Here is a 19,871-nt window from a genome sequence, read left to right on the forward strand (position 1 = left end):
TATCCGCCCGCCTTGGCCTCCCAAAGTGCTGGGATTACAGGCGTCAGCCACCGCGCCCGGCCCAGAATTTTTTTTTTTTTAATTATTTTACATGAGAGGCCGGGTGCGGTGGCTCACACCTGTAATCCCAGCACTTTGGGAGGCCGAGGAGGGCAAATCACGAGGTCAGGAGATGGAGACCATCCTGGCCAATATGGTGAAACCCCCGTCTCTACTGAAAACACAAAAATTAGCCAGGCGTGGTGGCGAGCACCTGTAGTCCCAGCTACTTGGGAGGCTGAGGCGGGAGAATCACTTGAACCCGGGAGACGGAGGTTGCAGTGAGCCGAGATTGCGCCACCGCTCTCCAGCCTGCTGACAGAGTGAGACGCCGTCTCAAAAAAAAAAAATACATATATATATGTGTGTGTGTGTGTGTGTGTGTGTGTGTGTGTGTGTGTGTGTATAAAACATTAGAAGAAAATCAAATGAGTCCAGAGAGTTTGTTGTGGCCCTAGGACTTGTAACAGGACACGTAAATTCTGGGGCTGAGGCTGCCATTGTGGGGTGGCCTTTGGGGGTTCTATGCGCTATGCGCTGATGCTGAGCAAGCAAAGAGAAGCAAGAGTTTGGAGCAAACAGAGAGAAGCAGGGAGGCTTTCCGTGACCCCCTTGTCTAATATGTTAAGCCCTCAACCCCAGCCTTTTCTCTCCATGCCCTCTTCTCTATCCCTTGGTCCACGTTTTTCCCCCTTCTGCTTCGTATTATTGCTTGTCTGCTCACTGTCCGTCTCCCCGTTCCGTTTCTCTATTGCTTCACGAAAAGACCACCCTCAAAACGTAAGGGCTTTGCAACAACAGTGATCATTCATTTGTATCCCAAGTCCGCAGTTTTGATGTTCTGCTCCCTGATGCCTAGGGTCTCGGCTGGGGACTGAAACCGTTTCCATGCATTTCTCTCCACAAAGCCTCGGGCTTCCTCACGACACGGCAGCCTGCGTAGTCAGCCTTCTTCCATGGCGGCGCAAACCTCCAAGACGATTCCGGTAGACCCAGATGGGAGCTGTAAGGATGCCTCCGACCCAGCCTCGGGAGACCCTGGACATCACTTCTGCCACATGCCGTTGTGCAAGGTAGTCACTAAGGCCAAACCAGATCCAAGGAGAGGGGAATTGGACTCTACTTCTCGATGGGAGAAGTAGTAAAGATAAGAAACTTCTCAGGCTACTGTCCAAAAAAATCGGCTGGGCGCGGTTGCTCTCACGCCTGTAACCCTAGCACTTTGGGAGGCCGAGGCGGGCGGATCACCTGAGGTCAGAAGTTCAAGACCAGCCTGGTCCACTAAAATACAAAAATTAGCCGGGCATGATGGCGGATGCCTGTAATCCCAGCTACTCGGGAGGCTGAGACGGGAGAATCGCTTGAACCCGGGAGACGGTGGTTGCAGTGAGCCGAGATCACGCCACTGCACTCCAGCCTGGGCGGCTGAGCGAGATTCCGTCTCAGAAAAAAAAAAAAAATCGAGGACGACTCACCATCTAAGCATAAAACGAAGGTTGAACAGATTACATAGAATATCTCAGATCGTGTGAGTTGACTATAAAACATAACAGTGGCTGGACGTGGTGCTTCACGCCTGTAATCCCAACACTTTGAGAGGCTGAGGTGGGCAGATCACCTGAGGTCGGGAGTTCGAGACCAGCCTGACCAACATGGAGAAATCCCGTGTCTACTAAAAATACAAAATTAGCCGGGCGTGGTGGCGCATGCCCGTAATCCCAGCTACTCGGGAGGCTGAGGCAAGAGAATCGCTTGAACCCGGGAGGCGGAGGTTGCGGTGAGCCGAGATCGCGCCATTGCACTCCAGCCTGGACAACAAGAGCGAAACTCCGTCTCACATAAGAAGAAGAAGAAGAAGAAGAAGAAGAAGAAGAAGAAGAAGAAGAAGAAGAATACAATAATAATAATAGTGTATTTACAGATTTTCCCAAGTGTTCAAAAATGGTTTGTTGTCCAGCGTTATACACTTAACTCGACCGGTGCACGGTTTGCATAGTGGACAACTTTGTACTTTGTCCTGATTTTTTTTTCCCTCAAAGTAAGAGGCTTGATTCCCCCCCGACTCCACCCGGCCCCCCTCCTTTAGGTTTTCCTAGGTTTCGTCGCCGCCTATGTTAGTTACAGCCGTTTCTGACAGGCCTACCAGGGAAGATGCTCAAGGAAAACGATGTTCTGTCAAGCTGCTTGGGGAAATCTTAGTGCTTAATGTTTAACCGGGGGGAGGAGGCGAACCTCATAATAGTTGTGCCCTGTGGGGAAGACTTCTGTTGGGCTGGCGAGAAGAGAAGGGGCCGAAACTTGCTTTTTGCTGAAAGGAAGGTGAGCCCAAACCCGAGCCCTGCCCGGCCCAGACGCTAGATCCCTTGGGGACTGGGCGGTGGGGCCGCAAACTCTCTTTCGCTCGCTCGCTCGCTCGCTCGCTCTCTCTCCCCCTCTTTTCTTCCTTCTCTCTCTCTCTATCTTCCCTCTGTCACTGTCTCTCTCTCTCTCTCTCTCTCTCTGTCTTCTCTCTCCCCTCTCTCCTGTCTCTCTCTCTCTCTTCTCTCTGTCACTGTCTTTCTGTCTCTCTCTTCTCTCTGTCACTGTCTCTCTCTCTCTCTCTGGCACTCTCTCGTCCTCTCAGGCCTCCCTTTCAGGTCCCAGACTCCCGGCCGCGCGCCCACTTGCGCCCAACCAGCCCCGGAGACACCCAGGCCTGTCCCACGCCGTCGGTAGGTCCCCGGTCCGGGAGCGGGAGAGACCGGAGCGCCGGGGACGACCCCGGCAAGGGCGTGGCGTATGCAGATGAGCACGGCGCGCGGAGGCTGCCGGTCACGCTCGGCCTGGGACCCCATGTCCCGCGCGCGATATCCGAGTGCTGTCGGGGTGTCTTCCCCTAGCGGCAACGGTGGAGCGAGGGGGCTGGAGAGGGTGAGGGGGCTGGGGCCGCACGAGAGAAGTGACCGTGTGTTGAGAGTGTGGTGGGCGCGAGGGTATGAGAGGAAGCCGCACGGCCAGTCCATACTTACCTGGCAGGGGAGATACCATGATCACGAAGGTGGTTTTCCCAGGGCGAGGCTTATCCATTGCACTCCGGATGTGCTGACCCCTGCGATTTCCCCAAATGTGGGAAACTCGACTGCATAATTTGTGGTAGTGGGGGACTGCGTTCGCGCTTTCCCCTGCCTTACTGGAAGTTGAAAGGTAGCTGTTATTATGATCGGCGCTGGGTCTGGATGTGTGGTGTTCAAAACACGGGCTGCTGGGCAGTTCGCTTTCGTTTTCACGTTTTTGTGGGGGTAGGGCGATTGCTGCTTTTTTCTCACCCCGCGGGGGATCCTTTAGTAACGCGCCAATTATACTGTGGGTTTATGTTCTCCAGGGTATTGTCGTGAAAACGTCACGATCTCGTGCTTTCTCCAGGCCAAAGCCGCGTTTTTCCTGCAAGTTTGGGGTGTGTAGAGGAAAAAGCCAGAACTGCTTTCTCTTCCCTGGGGAAAATATCCCAGGGTCTTGGTAACCGCTGGCAGAAACGACAGAATACGTACGGGGCGGGCAATTAATCCTGGTCCAGGGAAGTATCCGGCTTAGAGGTTTAGGAAGGACCTGTCGGGGTTGAGTTCCCCACCCAGGGGGAGATCGAGTCCGCGGGAGCTGCTGATCCCACCCAGGCAGCTGCTGGGCTTGTTGGCAGCAGCGTCTTCTGGAAGGACTAGAACGGAGTCATCCCACTCCCAGAGAAGCAGGCGTGTCATGCATGACAGTGAAGGCCGGACTACAAGGCCCTCAAGAACAGGAGACTTTGGGTCCTCGCTAACGGCCTTGGGAGACCACGCAAGACTGGTCAGAAAAGCCAGGTAGAAAGGCTTTTCATGGGCCGCGCGCGGTGGCTCACGCCTGTAATCCCAGCACTTTGAGAGGGCGAGGCGAGCGGATCACTTGAGGTCAGGAAGTTCGAGACCAACCTGGGCAACATGGTGAAACCCCCGTCTCTACTAAAAATACAAAAATTAGCCAGGCGGCGTGGCGCGTGCCTGTAATTCCACCTGCTCCAGAGGCTGAGCCATGAGAATTGCTTGAACCCGGGAGGCGGAGGTTGCGGTGAGCCGAGATCGCGCCATTGCACTCCAGCCTGGGCAACAGAGCAAGACTCCGTCTCAAAAAAAAAAAAAAAAGAAAGAAAGAAAGAAGGAAAGAAAAAGGCTTTTCATGAATGCTTTTAGGAGAGTCTCGTGACAGCCTCTGTACATGTCCCCAGGAGGAAACAAGAGACTCTGATGTTCAGGGCCACCATCCTGACATGGACCTTTCCTCCAGTTATAATGTTGCCATTTTGCTGTCTTAAGACCCTTATGTCCAAGCCTTCCCAGACCTCAGCACCCCCGGGATATGTGTAATAGAAGGGTAAATACACGCCAGGCGCGGTGGCTCACGCCTGTAATCCCAGCGCCTTGGGAGGCCGAGGTGGGCGGATCACCTGAGGTCAGGAGTTTGAGACCAGCTTGACCAACGTGGCGAAATCCTGTCTCTACTAAAAATACAAAAATTAGCCGGGCATGGTGGTGTGTGTCTGTAATCCCAGCTACTCGGGAGGCTGAGGCAGGAGAATCGCTTGAACCCAGGAGGCGGAGAGGTTGCAGTGAGCTGAGATCATGCCACTTGTACCACTCCAGCCAGCCTGGGCAACAGAGCGAGACTCTGTCTCAAAAAAAAAAAAAAAAAGTAAATAATACAAAACTGGTAGAAGGAAAGAAAAATGTTGGCCAGGCACGGTGGCTCACGCCTGTAATCCTAGCGCTTTGGGAGGCTGAGGCGAGAGGATCACTTGAGCCCAGGAGTTGGAGACCAGCTTGGGCAACACAGCAAGAGACCTCGTCTCTAAATTAAAACAAAACAAACCAAAACAAAACAGAAGGCAGGAGGAGGCTGCAGTGAGCGGTGATGGCGCCACTGCACTCCCACCCGAGTGACAAGAGCCTGCCTCAAAAAAGAAAAAACAAAAACATGTGCCCCTGGTGCCATAAGGAAAAGAGACTTTCCCCTTCCTTTGAGGCGTGAGTCTCTGCTTTTTGAGACAGGGTCTCTCTCTGTCACCCAGGCTGGGGTGCAGTGGCGTTATCCTAGCTTACTCACTGCAGCCTCGAACTCCTGGGTTCAAGCGGTCCTCCGGCCTCAGCCTTCCTCCTTAGCTGGAACCACAGGTTTGCGTTACCACACATGGCTAACTGGCTAATTTTATTTTATTTATTTTTTTTTTTTTGTAGAGACGGTGTCTTCCTATGTTGCCCAGGCTGGGCTTGAACTCCTGGGCTCAAGCGATCCTTCTGCCTCGGCCCCCCAAAATGCTGAAATTACGGGTGTCAGCCACCACGCCTGGCCTACGTGAGTCATATTAACAGCTAAATAAGCCTCTTGCCAGTTTTACAACCTAGGAAGGTTTTCCCTTGAGGGCCTTGAAGCCACCAACTCAAAAGGTAAATATCAAGGAAGATAGTGTCCCCCTGTCTCCTTTCTGTCTCTGGGAATTTACTTATGTATTGATTGATTTATATTTATTTACTTTTTTGTTTTTCTTTTTTGAGACAGTCTTGCTCTATTGCCCAGGCTGGAGTGCAGTGGTGCAGTCTCGGCTCACTGCAACCTCCACCTCCAGGGTTCAAGCGATTCTCCTGCCTCAGCCTCTCAAGTAGCTGGGATTACAGGCGCGTGCCACCACATCCAGCTAATTTTTGTATTTTTAGTACAGACGAGGTTTCACCATGTTGGCCAGGCTGGTCTCAAACTCTTGGTAATCCGCCCGCCTCGGCCTCCCAGAGTGTTGGGATTACAGGCGTGAGCCACTGCGCCCGGCCTCTATCTCTGGGAATTTAGCCTAGGTGGCTGGCTCCAAGTTATCACTACCTCCTTGTCATGGAGGTATCAGAGGCTTTATTTTCCCTTTGGGTAAAGGCAATTAATAACACAGCTGACCGCTGCAATTACCAGTTGAACTGAGGATGAACTGTGTGTAGCAAACAGTGCTAGGTTTCTTTCTTGAGGACAAATCCTTGACAACATGTATTTTAGGGCTTGCATCTGCCTACCTATGTAAAGGGGTGACCTTTCTTGGGGCTATAAACGGAACTGTCGGCCGGGCGCGGTGGCTCACACCTTCAATCCCATCCCTTTGGGAAGCCAAGGCGGGGGGGTCACTTGAGCCCGGGAGTTTGAGGCCAATCTGGGCAACATATGGAGACTTCCTGTCTACTTAAAAAAGAAGAAAAAAAGAAAAATTGAAGTTGTGTACCCAGAAGTCCCAGAGTCTCCCATTGATTTCCTCAGCAGTTTGTTGAGGCTTTCTCAGAATTTACTGGCATAGATCCAGGAGCAGACCAAAATTCTGCCCAGGTGTTAGCCCATCTTTGTCTGGGCTCTCTTACTGACTATCCAAACTCAAGTTAGGCAAAAAGTGGTAGGGTAGGCCGGGCCCGGTGGCTCACGCCTGTAATCCCAGCACTTTGGGAGGCCAAGGCGGGCAGATCACCTGAAGTCAGGAGTTTGAGACCAGCCTGGCCAACGTGGCGAAACCCCGTCTCTACTAAAAATACAAAAATTAGCTGGGCATGGTGGTGTGTGCCTGTAATCCCAGCTATTTGGGAGGCTGAGGCGCGAGAATCGCTTGAACCCAGGAGGTGGAGATCTCCCTGCAGTGAGCCGAGATCGCACCACTGCACTCCAGCCTGAGCAATACAGCGAGACTCTACTAAGATTTGGGGACAGTCTAGAGAAAGAAGAAATGAGGAAAGGCTAAACTGCTGTGCTAGCTGCTCACAACTAAGGGGAATCAGTTCCTACTCTGGACCCCCTATGAAAGGAGCAAAGGAAACGGGAAAACCTTTTAAGTCATTATTGCAAGGGCCAGGAGGGCAGAAGGGGGATTGTAGAAAGAGATTCCAGAGGGCTGGGCGCGGTGGCTCACACCTGTAATCCCAGCACTTTGGGAGGCTGAGGCGGGCGGATCATGAGGTCAGGAGATCGAGACCATCCTGGCCAACATAGTGAAACCCCACCTCTACTAAAAATACAAACATTAGCTGGGCGCAGTGGCATGCGCCGGTAGTCCCAGCTACTCGGGAGGCTGAGGCAGGAGAATGGCATGAACCCGAGAGGCGGAGATCTCCCTGCAGTGAGCCGAGATCACACCACTGCACTCCAGCCTGGGCAACAGACTGAGACTCCGTCACAAAAAAAAAAAAAAAAAAAAAAAAAAAAAAGAAAGAAAGAAAAAAAAAAAAAAAGGAAAGAGGCACCAGAGAATGCAGAAGTTGCAGGGACCAGGGAATCAGGAGAGCCCAGAAGGACAAAACTCTCAGCTGAAAAATAATTGTTAAATATCGCAAAATTGACAGATTGGGGGAGTCTCGGCAGGGGAAACAGGAGAACCAACCCAATGTGTCAATAACTTCTTCAGCCCAAAAAATAGCCTTACCTTCTCTGATAGATACTGGTGCTACTTCCCCCCGCCTCCCCCTCCGAGACAGAGTCTTGCTCTGTCACCCAGGCTACAGTGCAGTGGCATGATCTCGGCTCACTGCACCCTCCGCCTCTCGGGTTCAGGCGATTCTCCTGCCTCAGCCTCCCGAGTAGCTGGGATTACAGGCGCCCACGACCAGGCCTGGCTGATTTTTGTAATTTTAGTAGAGACGGGGTTTCACCATGTTGGCCAGGCTGGTCTCAAACTCCTGACCTCAAGTGATCCGCCCGCCTCCACCTCCCCAAGTGTTGGGATTATAGGCGTGAGCCACTGCCCCCGGCCCTTTGGTGCTACTTATGCTTCAAGTTCCTCTGAAATTTCCCAATTTTCATCTGGTGATAGATCAATGCAGGTTGTTGATTTTCCGGGTAAACTTTCTACTTGTTACTTTTCGCTGGCAGTTCCCATACAGATAGGCCCTCTGACTGAGGAACATGTGTTCTTTCATTCTCTTGATTCTCCCGTAAACCTACTGGGAAGACACCTGTGTAAATTAAAGACTACCTACCATCATCTGCACTCTGGATGGAATATTTTGTGGAGCTCCTTGGAGAAAGAGACACCTAGTTGGTACTTGTATGCCTTCTGAAAGAAAAGGGGTATGGCAGAGAGTGAGTTTCACAGTGGACTGGAAAAGCATCCGGGCTGAAACAAATTGGCACATGTATGACGTTGGACCTTAGGGAATAATGATGCTATTTGGAGAGAGAGAACCAATAACTCACCAAAAGGATAAACCATGGTCAGGTATAAAATGATATCCTTTGTAGAGAACTCAATTTGATGGAATAAAACCGGTTATACAACAATTAAACAACAAAACCAACAACAAAAAAATAGGAGCTTATTTAAAAAGGGCACTTGTGGCCGGGTGCGGTGGCTCAAGCCTGTAATCCCAGCAACTTTGGGAGGCTGAGGCAGGAGGACCACTTGAAACCAGGAGTTTGAGATTAGCCTGGGCAACATAGGGAAACCTGTCTCTATTTTAAAAAAAATAATAGTAATCGAAGAAGAGGAGAAAGAAAAATTAAGGCCGGGGGTGCTGGCTCATGCCTGTAATCCCAGCACTTTGGGAGGCCGAGACAGGTGGATCACTTGAGGTCAGGAGTTCGAGACCAGCCTGTCCAACACGGTGAAACCCCATCTCTACTAAAAATACAAAAATTAGCTGGGCATGGTGCCGCGTGCCTGTAATCCCAGCTACTCGGGAGGCTGAGGCAGGAGAATCGCTTCAATCGGGGAGGCGGAGGCCGCAGTGAGCCGAGATCGCGCCACTGCACTCCAGCCTGGGCGACAGAGTAAAAACTCCGTCTCAAAAAGAAAAAAAAGAAGAAAAAGAAAAGAAAAGAAAAGAAAACTGAGGCTGCGAGTTTTCGCCCACTGACGTTAAGTGCGAAACCACCTCAGTAAGAAATCGTGGTAACTTTTGTTTGTCGTGTCTTCCTGAGTAAAAGTGACATGAACCACCTCAGAATATCTATCTAGTAGCCGAATGTAGTGACGCTGGAAGGAAAACTCAAGAGTCTTGAGTTTGAAGAAAGGAAGCCGGGTCCTCTTCAGTGGCAGCCACGCGGCGCCCCTCCCGGGAGCCCCAGAGTAGGGATCAGACGCCGTTCAGCCTTCTCCCCGCGGCACTGGAGCTTCCCCTCCCCGCCCCCGCACACAGGGTGGCCCCACAAAGTACCCTCTGGTCATTTCTGACTTGGACTCAAGAAATTGCCCGTTTTGTGATCAAAGAGGATAACCCGATAGGGGGCGGTGGCTCACGCCTGTCATCCCAGCACTTTGGAAGGCCAAGGTGGGCGGATCGCTTGAGCCCAGGAGTTCCAGACCAGCCTGGCCAACATGGCGAGACCCCTTCTCTACAAAAAATACAAAAATTAGCCGGGCGTTGGTGGCGCGCGCCCCTGTTGTTCCAGCTACTCGGGAGGCTGAGGCGGGAGGATCGCTTGAACCCCGGAGGCGGAGGTTGCAGTGAGCCGAGATGGCGGCGCCGCATTCCAGCCTGGGCGACAGAGCGAGTCAAAAAGCAACAACAAAAAAAGATAACCCTGCACCGCGCCCTGGGTGAACCCTGGCTCCTGGCTCCTTTCTAAATATTCTGATTTCCTCTTGGATGACATTAAGAATTAGTCCATTCAGACCGGGCGCGGTGGCTCACGCCTGTAATCCCAGCACTTTGGGAGGCCGAGTCGGTTGGATCACTTGAGGTCAGGAGTTCGAGACCAGCCTGGCCAACATGGCGAAACCCCGTGTCTACTAAAAATACAAAAAATTAGCCGGGCGTGGTGGCGCGCACGCCTGTTGTCCCAGCTACTCGGGAGGCTGAGGCAGGAGAATCCCTTGAACCCGGGAGGCGGAGGTTGCAGTGAGCCGAGATCGCGCCACCGCACTCCAGCTTGGGTGACAGCGAGACTTAGTTTCAATAAAAATAAATAAATAAATAAATAAATAAGGCCGGGCGCGGTGGCTCACGCCTGTAATCCCAGCACTTTGGGAGGCTGAGGCGGGCAGATCACGAGGTCAGGAGATCGAGACCATCCTGGATGACACGGTGAAACCCTGTGTCTCCTAAGAACACAAAAAAATTAGCCGGGCGTGGTGGCAGGCGCCTGTAGTCCCAGCTACTCGGGAGGCTGAGGCAGGAGAATGGCGTGAACCCGGGAGGCGGAGCTTGCAGTGAGCCGAGATCGCGCCACTGCACTTCAGCCTGGGCGACAGAGCGAGACTCCGTCTCAAATAAATAATAAATAAATAAATACTTAATAACAATAAAGAAGAATTCGTCCATTCAACAACCGTTCACTGAGCGCATAGCCTGTGCCCAGACACTGTTCCAGGCCTCTGGGAGCAAAAAGGCCTCGGTGCCCGTATTCTAGTTAGACAACGAGAAGCGCGGGGAGGTGGGGGGCGGGGGTGGGAGAGAGAAAATCTACACCGGGCTGCATAGGTAAATTCGTAGGTTAGGTGCTAAGTGCTTTGAAAAAGCAAACAAACACAGGGAAAGTGAGATAAGGAGTTGCGGCAAGGGGCAGGTGGCTGTGTTAAATCGAGTGGTTGGAAGAAGCTGCTATGAGAAGGTACCGTATGAGCAAAGGACTTGAAGCAGGTGAAGGGAGTTGGTCACGGGGCATCCCCAGCACAAACATCAGCTACAGCAAAGGCCCAGGTAGGACTGGGTTTGGCGAACAGCAAGGAGGCCCTGTGTCGGGAGCAAAATTAAAGAGAGTTGTATGAAATGTCAGTCACAGAGGTGACTGGGTGGGGGTAAGATCATGAGGGTCTTGTAGACACCACAGTAAAGCTTTAAATCTGGGTGAACCAGGTTTTGAGCAGAGGTGTGGCATGTTCTGATAAAAAAATGAAATGAAGTGAAAAGCAGGGAGACCAATCAGGAGACTTGCCAATCCAGGCAAGATGATGTTGGCTCAAACCAGGTTAAACCACTGGGTAAATACAAGGGGCAGGGGTGTGAGAAAAATAAGGTGCTTACCCCCAACTTGCCTTTTTCTGATGCCTGTAACAACGATCACATTCTCCTCAAGCGAGAAGGGGCTGAAGAGGCTGACAGAGGTCGAGGGTGTGGACTAGTGGATCCTCCCACTGGGCTCAGGGACTAGTTTTGTAGCTCTCACCCAGGAGCTCGAGCAAATGGTATTAAGTGCTGATGAAGCTGAGCAGGGAGGATTTGCAACTCTGTGATTTCTCTGTAGGAAAGACACAGTATTAATCTCCCCTGGGCTCAGAGCTAGAACCTGGGCACCTGATGTCAATAGATTAATCCAACAAATATATTGAAAGCCAGGCAGCTTTCTAGTCACCTGTGGATGGAAGCAGTCAACAAAATAGGCAAGAATCGCTGACCTGGAGCTTACATTCCAAGTGGGTGACGTTAGATAGAAAACTAAAACATACAGCACGTTCGATCAGTGCTTCTTAAACTTCACTGTGGACAGAATGCACATTCGGACTCAGCAGATACAGCAAAGGTGGGGCCTAAGAGTCTGCACTCTTTAATTAATTAATTTATTTATTTATTTATTTTTGAGACGGAGTCTTGCTCTGTTGCCCAGGCTGGAGTGCAATGGCGCGATCTCGGCTCACCGCAACCTCCGCCTCCCGGGTTCAAGCAATTCTCATGGCTCAGCCTCTGGAGCAGGTGGAATTACAGGCACGCGCCACGCCGCCTGGCTAATTTTTGTATTTTTAGTAGAGACGGGGGTTTCACCATGTTGCCCAGGTTGGTCTCGAACTTCCTGACCTCAAGTGATCCGCTCGCCTCGCCCTCTCAAAGTGCTGGGATTACAGGCGTGAGCCACCGCGCGCGGCCCATGAAAAGCCTTTCTACCTGGCTTTTCTGACCAGTCTTGCGTGGTCTCCCAAGGCCGTTAGCGAGGACCCAAAGTCTCCTGTTCTTGAGGGCCTTGTAGTCCGGCCTTCACTGTCATGCATGACACGCCTGCTTCTCTGGGAGTGGGATGACTCCGTTCTAGTCCTTCCAGAAGACGCTGCTGCCAACAAGCCCAGCAGCTGCCTGGGTGGGATCAGCAGCTCCCGCGGACTCGATCTCCCCCTGGGTGGGGAACTCAACCCCGACAGGTCCTTCCTAAACCTCTAAGCCGGATACTTCCCTGGACCAGGATTAATTGCCCGCCCCGTACGTATTCTGTCGTTTCTGCCAGCGGTTACCAAGACCCTGGGATATTTTCCCCAGGGAAGAGAAAGCAGTTCTGGCTTTTTCCTCTACACACCCCAAACTTGCAGGAAAAACGCGGCTTTGGCCTGGAGAAAGCACGAGATCGTGACGTTTTCACGACAATACCCTGGAGAACATAAACCCACAGTATAATTGGCGCGTTACTAAAGGATCCCCCGCGGGGTGAGAAAAAAGCAGCAATCGCCCTACCCCCACAAAAACGTGAAAACGAAAGCGAACTGCCCAGCAGCCCGTGTTTTGAACACCACACATCCAGACCCAGCGCCGATCATAATAACAGCTACCTTTCAACTTCCAGTAAGGCAGGGGAAAGCGCGAACGCAGTCCCCCACTACCACAAATTATGCAGTCGAGTTTCCCACATTTGGGGAAATCGCAGGGGTCAGCACATCCGGAGTGCAATGGATAAGCCTCGCCCTGGGAAAACCACCTTCGTGATCATGGTATCTCCCCTGCCAGGTAAGTATGGACTGGCCGTGCGGCTTCCTCTCATACCCTCGCGCCCACCACACTCTCAACACACGGTCACTTCTCTCGTGCGGCCCCAGCCCCCTCACCCTCTCCAGCCCCCTCGCTCCACCGTTGCCGCTAGGGGAAGACACCCCGACAGCACTCGGATATCGCGCGCGGGACATGGGGTCCCAGGCCGAGCGTGACCGGCAGCCTCCGCGCGCCGTGCTCATCTGCATACGCCACGCCCTTGCCGGGGTCGTCCCCGGCGCTCCGGTCTCTCCCGCTCCCGGACCGGGGACCTACCGACGGCGTGGGACAGGCCTGGGTGTCTCCGGGGCTGGTTGGGCGCAAGTGGGCGCGCGGCCGGGAGTCTGGGACCTGAAAGGGAGGCCTGAGAGGACGAGAGAGTGCCAGAGAGAGAGAGAGAGACAGTGACAGAGAGAAGAGAGAGACAGAAAGACAGTGACAGAGAGAAGAGAGAGAGAGAGACAGGAGAGAGGGGAGAGAGAAGACAGAGAGAGAGAGAGAGAGAGAGAGACAGTGACAGAGGGAAGATAGAGAGAGAGAGAAGGAAGAAAAGAGGGGGAGAGAGAGCGAGCGAGCGAGCGAGCGAGCGAAAGAGAGTTTGCGGCCCCACCGCCCAGTCCCCAAGGGATCTAGCGTCTGGGCCGGGCAGGGCTCGGGTTTGGGCTCACCTTCCTTTCAGCAAAAAGCAAGTTTCGGCCCCTTCTCTTCTCGCCAGCCCAACAGAAGTCTTCCCCACAGGGCACAACTATTATGAGGTTCGCCTCCTCCCCCCGGTTAAACATTAAGCACTAAGATTTCCCCAAGCAGCTTGACAGAACATCGTTTTCCTTGAGCATCTTCCCTGGTAGGCCTGTCAGAAACGGCTGTAACTAACATAGGCGGCGACGAAACCTAGGAAAACCTAAAGGAGGGGGGCCGGGTGGAGTCGGGGGGGAATCAAGCCTCTTACTTTGAGGGAAAAAAAAATCAGGACAAAGTACAAAGTTGTCCACTATGCAAACCGTGCACCGGTCGAGTTAAGTGTATAACGCTGGACAACAAACCATTTTTGAACACTTGGGAAAATCTGTAAATACACTATTATTATTATTGTATTCTTCTTCTTCTTCTTCTTCTTCTTCTTCTTCTTCTTCTTCTTCTTCTTCTTCTTCTTATGTGAGACGGAGTTTCGCTCTTGTTGTCCAGGCTGGAGTGCAATGGCGCGATCTCGGCTCACCGCAACCTCCGCCTCCCGGGTTCAAGCGATTCTCTTGCCTCAGCCTCCCGAGTAGCTGGGATTACGGGCATGCGCCACCACGCCCGGCTAATTTTGTATTTTTAGTAGACACGGGATTTCTCCATGTTGGTCAGGCTGGTCTCGAACTCCCGACCTCAGGTGATCTGCCCACCTCAGCCTCTCAAAGTGTTGGGATTACAGGCGTGAAGCACCACGTCCAGCCACTGTTATGTTTTATAGTCAACTCACACGATCTGAGATATTCTATGTAATCTGTTCAACCTTCGTTTTATGCTTAGATGGTGAGTCGTCCTCGATTTTTTTTTTTTTTCTGAGACGGAATCTCGCTCAGCCGCCCAGGCTGGAGTGCAGTGGCGTGATCTCGGCTCACTGCAACCACCGTCTCCCGGGTTCAAGCGATTCTCCCGTCTCAGCCTCCCGAGTAGCTGGGATTACAGGCATCCGCCATCATGCCCGGCTAATTTTTGTATTTTAGTGGACCAGGCTGGTCTTGAACTTCTGACCTCAGGTGATCCGCCCGCCTCGGCCTCCCAAAGTGCTAGGGTTACAGGCGTGAGAGCAACCGCGCCCAGCCGATTTTTTTGGACAGTAGCCTGAGAAGTTTCTTATCTTTACTACTTCTCCCATCGAGAAGTAGAGTCCAATTCCCCTCTCCTTGGATCTGGTTTGGCCTTAGTGACTACCTTGCACAACGGCATGTGGCAGAAGTGATGTCCAGGGTCTCCCGAGGCTGGGTCGGAGGCATCCTTACAGCTCCCATCTGGGTCTACCGGAATCGTCTTGGAGGTTTGCGCCGCCATGGAAGAAGGCTGACTACGCAGGCTGCCGTGTCGTGAGGAAGCCCGAGGCTTTGTGGAGAGAAATGCATGGAAACGGTTTCAGTCCCCAGCCGAGACCCTAGGCATCAGGGAGCAGAACATCAAAACTGCGGACTTGGGATACAAATGAATGATCACTGTTGTTGCAAAGCCCTTACGTTTTGAGGGTGGTCTTTTCGTGAAGCAATAGAGAAACGGAACGGGGAGACGGACAGTGAGCAGACAAGCAATAATACGAAGCAGAAGGGGGAAAAACGTGGACCAAGGGATAGAGAAGAGGGCATGGAGAGAAAAGGCTGGGGTTGAGGGCTTAACATATTAGACAAGGGGGTCACGGAAAGCCTCCCTGCTTCTCTCTGTTTGCTCCAAACTCTTGCTTCTCTTTGCTTGCTCAGCATCAGCGCATAGCGCATAGAACCCCCAAAGGCCACCCCACAATGGCAGCCTCAGCCCCAGAATTTACGTGTCCTGTTACAAGTCCTAGGGCCACAACAAACTCTCTGGACTCATTTGATTTTCTTCTAATGTTTTATACACACACACACACACACACACACACACACACACACACACACACACACATATATATATGTATTTTTTTTTTTTGAGACGGCGTCTCACTCTGTCAGCAGGCTGGAGAGCGGTGGCGCAATCTCGGCTCACTGCAACCTCCGTCTCCCGGGTTCAAGTGATTCTCCCGCCTCAGCCTCCCAAGTAGCTGGGACTACAGGTGCTCGCCACCACGCCTGGCTAATTTTTGTGTTTTCAGTAGAGACGGGGGTTTCACCATATTGGCCAGGATGGTCTCCATCTCCTGACCTCGTGATTTGCCCTCCTCGGCCTCCCAAAGTGCTGGGATTACAGGTGTGAGCCACCGCACCCGGCCTCTCATGTAAAATAATTAAAAAAAAAAAAATTCTGGGCCGGGCGCGGTGGCTGACGCCTGTAATCCCAGCACTTTGGGAGGCCAAGGCGGGCGGATAACCTGAGGTCAGGAGCTCAAGACCAGCCTGGCCAACATGGTGAAACCCCGTCTCTACTAAAAAATACAAAAATTAGCTGGGCATGATGGCGGGTTCCTGTAATCCCAGCTACTCCGGAGGCTGAGGCGGGAGAAAAACTTGAACCCAGGAGGCGGAGGTTGTAATGAGCCGAGATCGCGACATTGCACTCCAGCCTGGACGACAGAGTGAGACTCCGTCACAAAAAACAAAAAACAAAACAAGAACCAAAAAAAACACATAAAAAACAAACAACAACAACAACAAACGAAACCTCTAATCACAGGTCAGTTTTACTGTTTCTCAGGTCCAGACTCGTTCTGTGCTGTTGGCAGGGTATCCTGCAGTGGCCACTCCTGTCTTACTAACAGACCCTGATTTTGTCCACAGGATCAACACACCCAGCTAAAACAGCTCAACTTCCTCATCACACAACACAGTTCTGGCCAGTTAGACACACGTCCCCGGAAAGGGCATCTCCAGGAGAATAAAAAGGCCAAGCCACTTTTTGAAGAAAGTCTTTGTCCCTACCCCCTTTTTCTACCTGGAAGTCAGACTCAGGCCTGGAGTGTAGCGGCCGCCTTGGTACCTGGAAGCAACAATCATGGCCGGGAGACCTTACACCTGGCATGGTAGAGCAGACGGAGGAGGGGCCGCCTGGTGAATAGCCTGGCCAACAGCCCCAAACTGCTACCCCTTAAATTCTGGGTAGGTGAGAAAAATAAGTCCTGTCTAAGCTGCTCATTGTTTTAGTTACCTGTAGCCAAAGTTAAATCCTGCCTAAAAGGGTTCTCCCCTCATTTTTATATTACATGCCATTTTTTATTTTATTTTATTTTATTTTATTTTATTTTATTTTATTTATTTAGAGACAGAGTTTCGCTCTTGTTGCCCAGCCTGGAATGCAATGGCGCGATCTTGGCTCACTACAGCCTCTGCCTCCCAGGTTCAAGTGATTCTCCTGCCTCAGCCTCCCGAGTAGCTGGGATTACACGCACCCGCCACCACGCCCAGCTAATTCTTTTTTTTTTTTTGAGCCGGAGTCTCGCTCTGTCGTCCAGGTTGGAGTGCAGTGGCGCAATCTCAGCTCACTGCAAGCTCCACCTCCCGGGTTCACGCCATCCTCCTGCCTCAGCCTCCCGAGTAGCTGGGACTACAGGTGCCCGCCACTGCGCCTGGCTAATTTTTTGTATTTTTAGTAGAGACGGGGTTTCACCGTGTTAGCCAGGACGGTCTTGATCTCCTGACCTCGTGATCCGCCCGCCTTGGCCTCCCAAGGTGCTGGGATCACAGGCGTGAGCCACCACGCCCAGCCAAAAAGTTGTTTTAAAATTTTTTCGAGAGATAGGATCTCGCTTAGTTGCCCAGGCTGGTCTTGAACTCCTGGGCTCAAGCAATCTTCCCACTTTGGACCCCCACAGTGCTGGGATTACAGGGGTAAGCCACCACACCCAACCTCAATCTTCTTGTGATCTGTTATGTTGACAACCAAGACAGCTACTTAGTGGTTGGTTGATGGGTGGACAGTGTATACAGCATGGACACACTGGACAGAGGCATGACTCAATGTTCCAGGTAGGACGGCAACAGATTTCATCACGCTACTCAGAACAGCACAACATTTAAGACATAAATTGTTTCTGGAGTTTTTCATTTAGTATTTTCAGATTTCAGGTGACTGCTGTAACTTGAAGCAAGAAAAGTGAAACTACAGAAAAGGGAGGACCACTGGACGGCTGCTTTCATTCTACGCCCACTTTTTAGAGTGCATTCCTACAATAAGCACCCTAATAATGTAAACCAGGGGCCAAGGGATGCACCTTCCACTCTACTTCCTTCCCCAGAAAAGACCACCTTGGTAAATACAGAATGGCAAACGGTTAAGTGAAACACTGTATAGCTTCTGGCCCTATACTTAGTATTTCTTAACATTTACACAGCATTTTCACATTTCCAAAGCAGAGTACCAACATTTATTAATCCTCACAACACCCCTGTGAGGTAGGTCAGTATGTCCTTTAGAGTCGAGAACTGAGGCAGAGGTCAAGCAAACCTGCCCTGGGCCACAGAGCAGCAGATGAAGGGCCTAGACCTGGATCCAGAAGCTAGGGCTCTCGGTCCAGCATTCATCCACTGGTGGACATCACATGGGCTTATTTTTACCAGCGAAGGTTACGTGAAGGACAAAACGCACTCAGCCAGCAACGGAAACTCAACAGTTCAAACAGCACTGGGGAACATGTCAGTTAAAGAGACGAAACGCTGACCAGCTCATGAATGAGGCAAGACAACATGCGGCTGAGGAAGTGTGGAATCATCACGACTGGGGATTAGACCAAGAACGGGCGCTCAGGAGGGTTCAGGAAAATGTAAACAAACTAGGAACCCATCCAAGGGGTGACAGGCCCAAATGCCTACGGTCTCCAAATGGTAGAAAAATTAGAAAAAGATAGTGGAAAAATCCAACCACGCAACCTTAACTTTAAACTAGGAATGACAATAATGTGTCTAATGTTCATTCACACTAGAAAGGCCGATAATGTTTGTAATATAACTACTGGCGATAGTATCCTATTTGTATGCCAACTTTCATCTCAAGTATTCTGCTTTTCTTTCCCCACAGACAAACAAGTGTTGTTCTTTACAGCAGACCTCTTTCCCTCTACATACCAATCTATCCACTCGCATAACTACTAAGTGGCTCAATGGCCTATGTCTCATGCTTAATTGGCTGAGCTAGGCGCGGAATCCGGGAAACCACAACAGACTGTACTCTGCTCCTGTATTTCAGGAATAACTGTCACTAACCTGCCTCTGTCCGATTCCACCTTCTATGAAGTACACACAGAGGAGCAGTTCATTCTTTTGTAAAGGGATTGGTGGACTTTGTTCGAGATGCCATTTCAAAAGAAATGAGAAAAAAGAAAAACTAAGACCTGCACTGTAAAGCATAATACAGGAGTAGATTTATTACAGCTACTCCACATTTTCCAGAGTGATACAATGACCATAGAGTTAAAAACTATCACTGTTATCGCTGTTTATTTTACAATACTTGGTTTAGTCTACAAGTTTAAGGCAAACATACTAATGCATTTGCTTTTCTTCAGAAATCATACTTATAAAGATTACATAAAATCTGTCCCAAAACGTCTAAGAAATATTCAGTAATTAAAAATAAGTCTGATTAAGATGCTTTACCAGGATACATGAATGAACTAAGGTGGTATATGCTTTTAAAAACAAAATTTAAAAAATTCAAAAAAGGCAATCTTTATCTTGTTTCAACAATGCATTCTGAAAAGGTTAAATTTCAGAAATTATTTAAAGGTAAATAAGAGTGGCAGCCATAAGGAATACTATTTATAAAATAAACAGAGTTATAGAGGCTACTTTAAAGAAGAATGAACTTTGGACTTCTGAGTATGACGAGTGCACGATGATGGACCACTGTCATGGGGAACACAGTGCGGCATCACGGCACACAGACTGGCATCGCCTGGGCGTGCGCTGCTCCATGTTTCTCAGAAAAAGAGGAGTTGATGCACTTTTTCAGCTGCTTTTTGTTTGTTTCCAGTGAGCATAAATGCTTAACATCATTAAGAAAACAAAAATAAAATTTGAAGGAAGGCAGCCCTTTTTAACAGGAAGGCGGAGTGTGGCTTATGTGTCTCCATTTAACACTGCCAGGCAGTTCTGCAGCAACTGTAGATTACCCTAAAAAAGGAAGAAAAAATAAATTACAAATTTTATTTCAAACAATTCAGAAGACTCCTACTGAAAATACAGTTAGAAACGACATAAAATATAGTGTTAGAAGCCGGGCGCGGTGGCTCATGCCTGTAATCCCAGCACTCTGGGAGGCCGAGGCGGGTGGATCACGAGGTCAGGAGATCGAGACCATCCTGGCTAACACAGTGAAACCCCATCTCTACTAAAAAATACAAAAAATTAGCCGGGCGTGGTGGTTGGCACCTGTAGTCCCAGCTACTCGGTATGCTGAGGCAAGAGAATGGCATGAACCCGGGAAGCGGAGCTTGCAGTGAGCAGAGATCGCGCCACTGCACTCCACCCTGGGCGAAAGAGT

General features: G+C 50.8%; 1 protein-coding gene, 1 long non-coding RNA gene and 2 pseudogenes across 8 annotated transcripts in view, besides 7 other annotated features; 1 reads left to right on the forward strand and 3 right to left on the reverse strand.

Moving 5' to 3' along the window:
- Nucleotides 1–414: 414 nt before the first annotated feature.
- Nucleotides 415–13,578, reverse strand: LOC105370449 (uncharacterized). 3 transcript variants are annotated; one of them, XR_007064114.1, is made up of 3 exons: nucleotides 11,025–12,734; nucleotides 8,040–8,116; nucleotides 415–1,119 (listed from the first exon to the last, which is right to left on the reverse strand). It is a non-coding gene; the product is annotated as an uncharacterized LOC105370449 (long non-coding RNA). The 3 variants fall into 3 exon arrangements; XR_943742.4 differs by lacking the exon at nucleotides 415–1,119 and adding an exon at nucleotides 13,397–13,578 and having other exon boundaries at nucleotides 7,763–8,116; nucleotides 11,025–11,238; XR_001750946.3 differs by lacking the exon at nucleotides 415–1,119 and adding an exon at nucleotides 10,616–10,733 and having other exon boundaries at nucleotides 7,763–8,116.
- Nucleotides 2,779–3,350: an enhancer, noted in NCBI's record as "OCT4-NANOG-H3K27ac-H3K4me1 hESC enhancer chr14:35015659-35016230 (GRCh37/hg19 assembly coordinates)". NCBI's record gives its function as "activates a minimal SCP1, AML or CMV promoter by ChIP-STARR-seq in naive and primed H9 embryonic stem cells {active_cell/tissue: H9 hESC(naive and primed)}" and the evidence as "EXISTENCE:reporter gene assay evidence [ECO:0000049][PMID:30033119]".
- Nucleotides 2,854–3,084: an enhancer, noted in NCBI's record as "nonconserved acetylation island sequence 117a". NCBI's record gives its function as "activates a minimal heat-shock promoter by reporter assays in Jurkat T cells {active_cell/tissue: Jurkat}" and the evidence as "EXISTENCE:reporter gene assay evidence [ECO:0000049][PMID:17135569]".
- Nucleotides 3,040–3,203, forward strand: RNU1-27P (RNA, U1 small nuclear 27, pseudogene; annotated as a pseudogene).
- Nucleotides 3,351–3,922: an enhancer, noted in NCBI's record as "OCT4-NANOG-H3K27ac-H3K4me1 hESC enhancer chr14:35016231-35016802 (GRCh37/hg19 assembly coordinates)". NCBI's record gives its function as "activates a minimal SCP1, AML or CMV promoter by ChIP-STARR-seq in primed H9 embryonic stem cells {active_cell/tissue: H9 hESC(primed)}" and the evidence as "EXISTENCE:reporter gene assay evidence [ECO:0000049][PMID:30033119]".
- Nucleotides 9,636–9,812: a silencer, noted in NCBI's record as "fragment chr14:35022516-35022692 (GRCh37/hg19 assembly coordinates)". NCBI's record gives its function as "represses an EF-1alpha promoter that drives an FKBP-Casp9 reporter gene in an ReSE screen in HepG2 liver carcinoma cells {active_cell/tissue: HepG2}" and the evidence as "EXISTENCE:reporter gene assay evidence [ECO:0000049][PMID:32094911]".
- Nucleotides 11,869–12,426: an enhancer, noted in NCBI's record as "OCT4-NANOG-H3K27ac-H3K4me1 hESC enhancer chr14:35024749-35025306 (GRCh37/hg19 assembly coordinates)". NCBI's record gives its function as "activates a minimal SCP1, AML or CMV promoter by ChIP-STARR-seq in primed H9 embryonic stem cells {active_cell/tissue: H9 hESC(primed)}" and the evidence as "EXISTENCE:reporter gene assay evidence [ECO:0000049][PMID:30033119]".
- Nucleotides 12,427–12,984: an enhancer, noted in NCBI's record as "OCT4-NANOG-H3K27ac-H3K4me1 hESC enhancer chr14:35025307-35025864 (GRCh37/hg19 assembly coordinates)". NCBI's record gives its function as "activates a minimal SCP1, AML or CMV promoter by ChIP-STARR-seq in primed H9 embryonic stem cells {active_cell/tissue: H9 hESC(primed)}" and the evidence as "EXISTENCE:reporter gene assay evidence [ECO:0000049][PMID:30033119]".
- Nucleotides 12,552–12,715, reverse strand: RNU1-28P (RNA, U1 small nuclear 28, pseudogene; annotated as a pseudogene).
- Nucleotides 12,671–12,901: an enhancer, noted in NCBI's record as "nonconserved acetylation island sequence 117b". NCBI's record gives its function as "activates a minimal heat-shock promoter by reporter assays in Jurkat T cells {active_cell/tissue: Jurkat}" and the evidence as "EXISTENCE:reporter gene assay evidence [ECO:0000049][PMID:17135569]".
- Nucleotides 13,579–17,418: 3,840 nt separating the features above from the next.
- SNX6 (sorting nexin 6) overlaps nucleotides 17,419–19,871 on the reverse strand; it is a 69,056-nt gene continuing 66,603 nt past the window's right edge. For all 5 annotated transcript variants that reach the window (NR_159358.1, NR_159357.1, NM_001366519.1 and 2 more), the window contains one exon: nucleotides 17,419–19,501. Coding sequence is in view for 3 of the 5 variants with exons in the window: in NM_001366519.1 (NP_001353448.1) it covers nucleotides 19,448–19,501 (54 nt within the window). In the remaining 2 variants the exon portion in view is untranslated. The remainder of the gene's footprint in view (nucleotides 19,502–19,871) is intronic.

This window comes from Homo sapiens, chromosome 14 (genome assembly GCF_000001405.40).
Source record: "Homo sapiens chromosome 14, GRCh38.p14 Primary Assembly".
Lineage (NCBI taxonomy): Eukaryota > Metazoa > Chordata > Mammalia > Primates > Hominidae > Homo > Homo sapiens.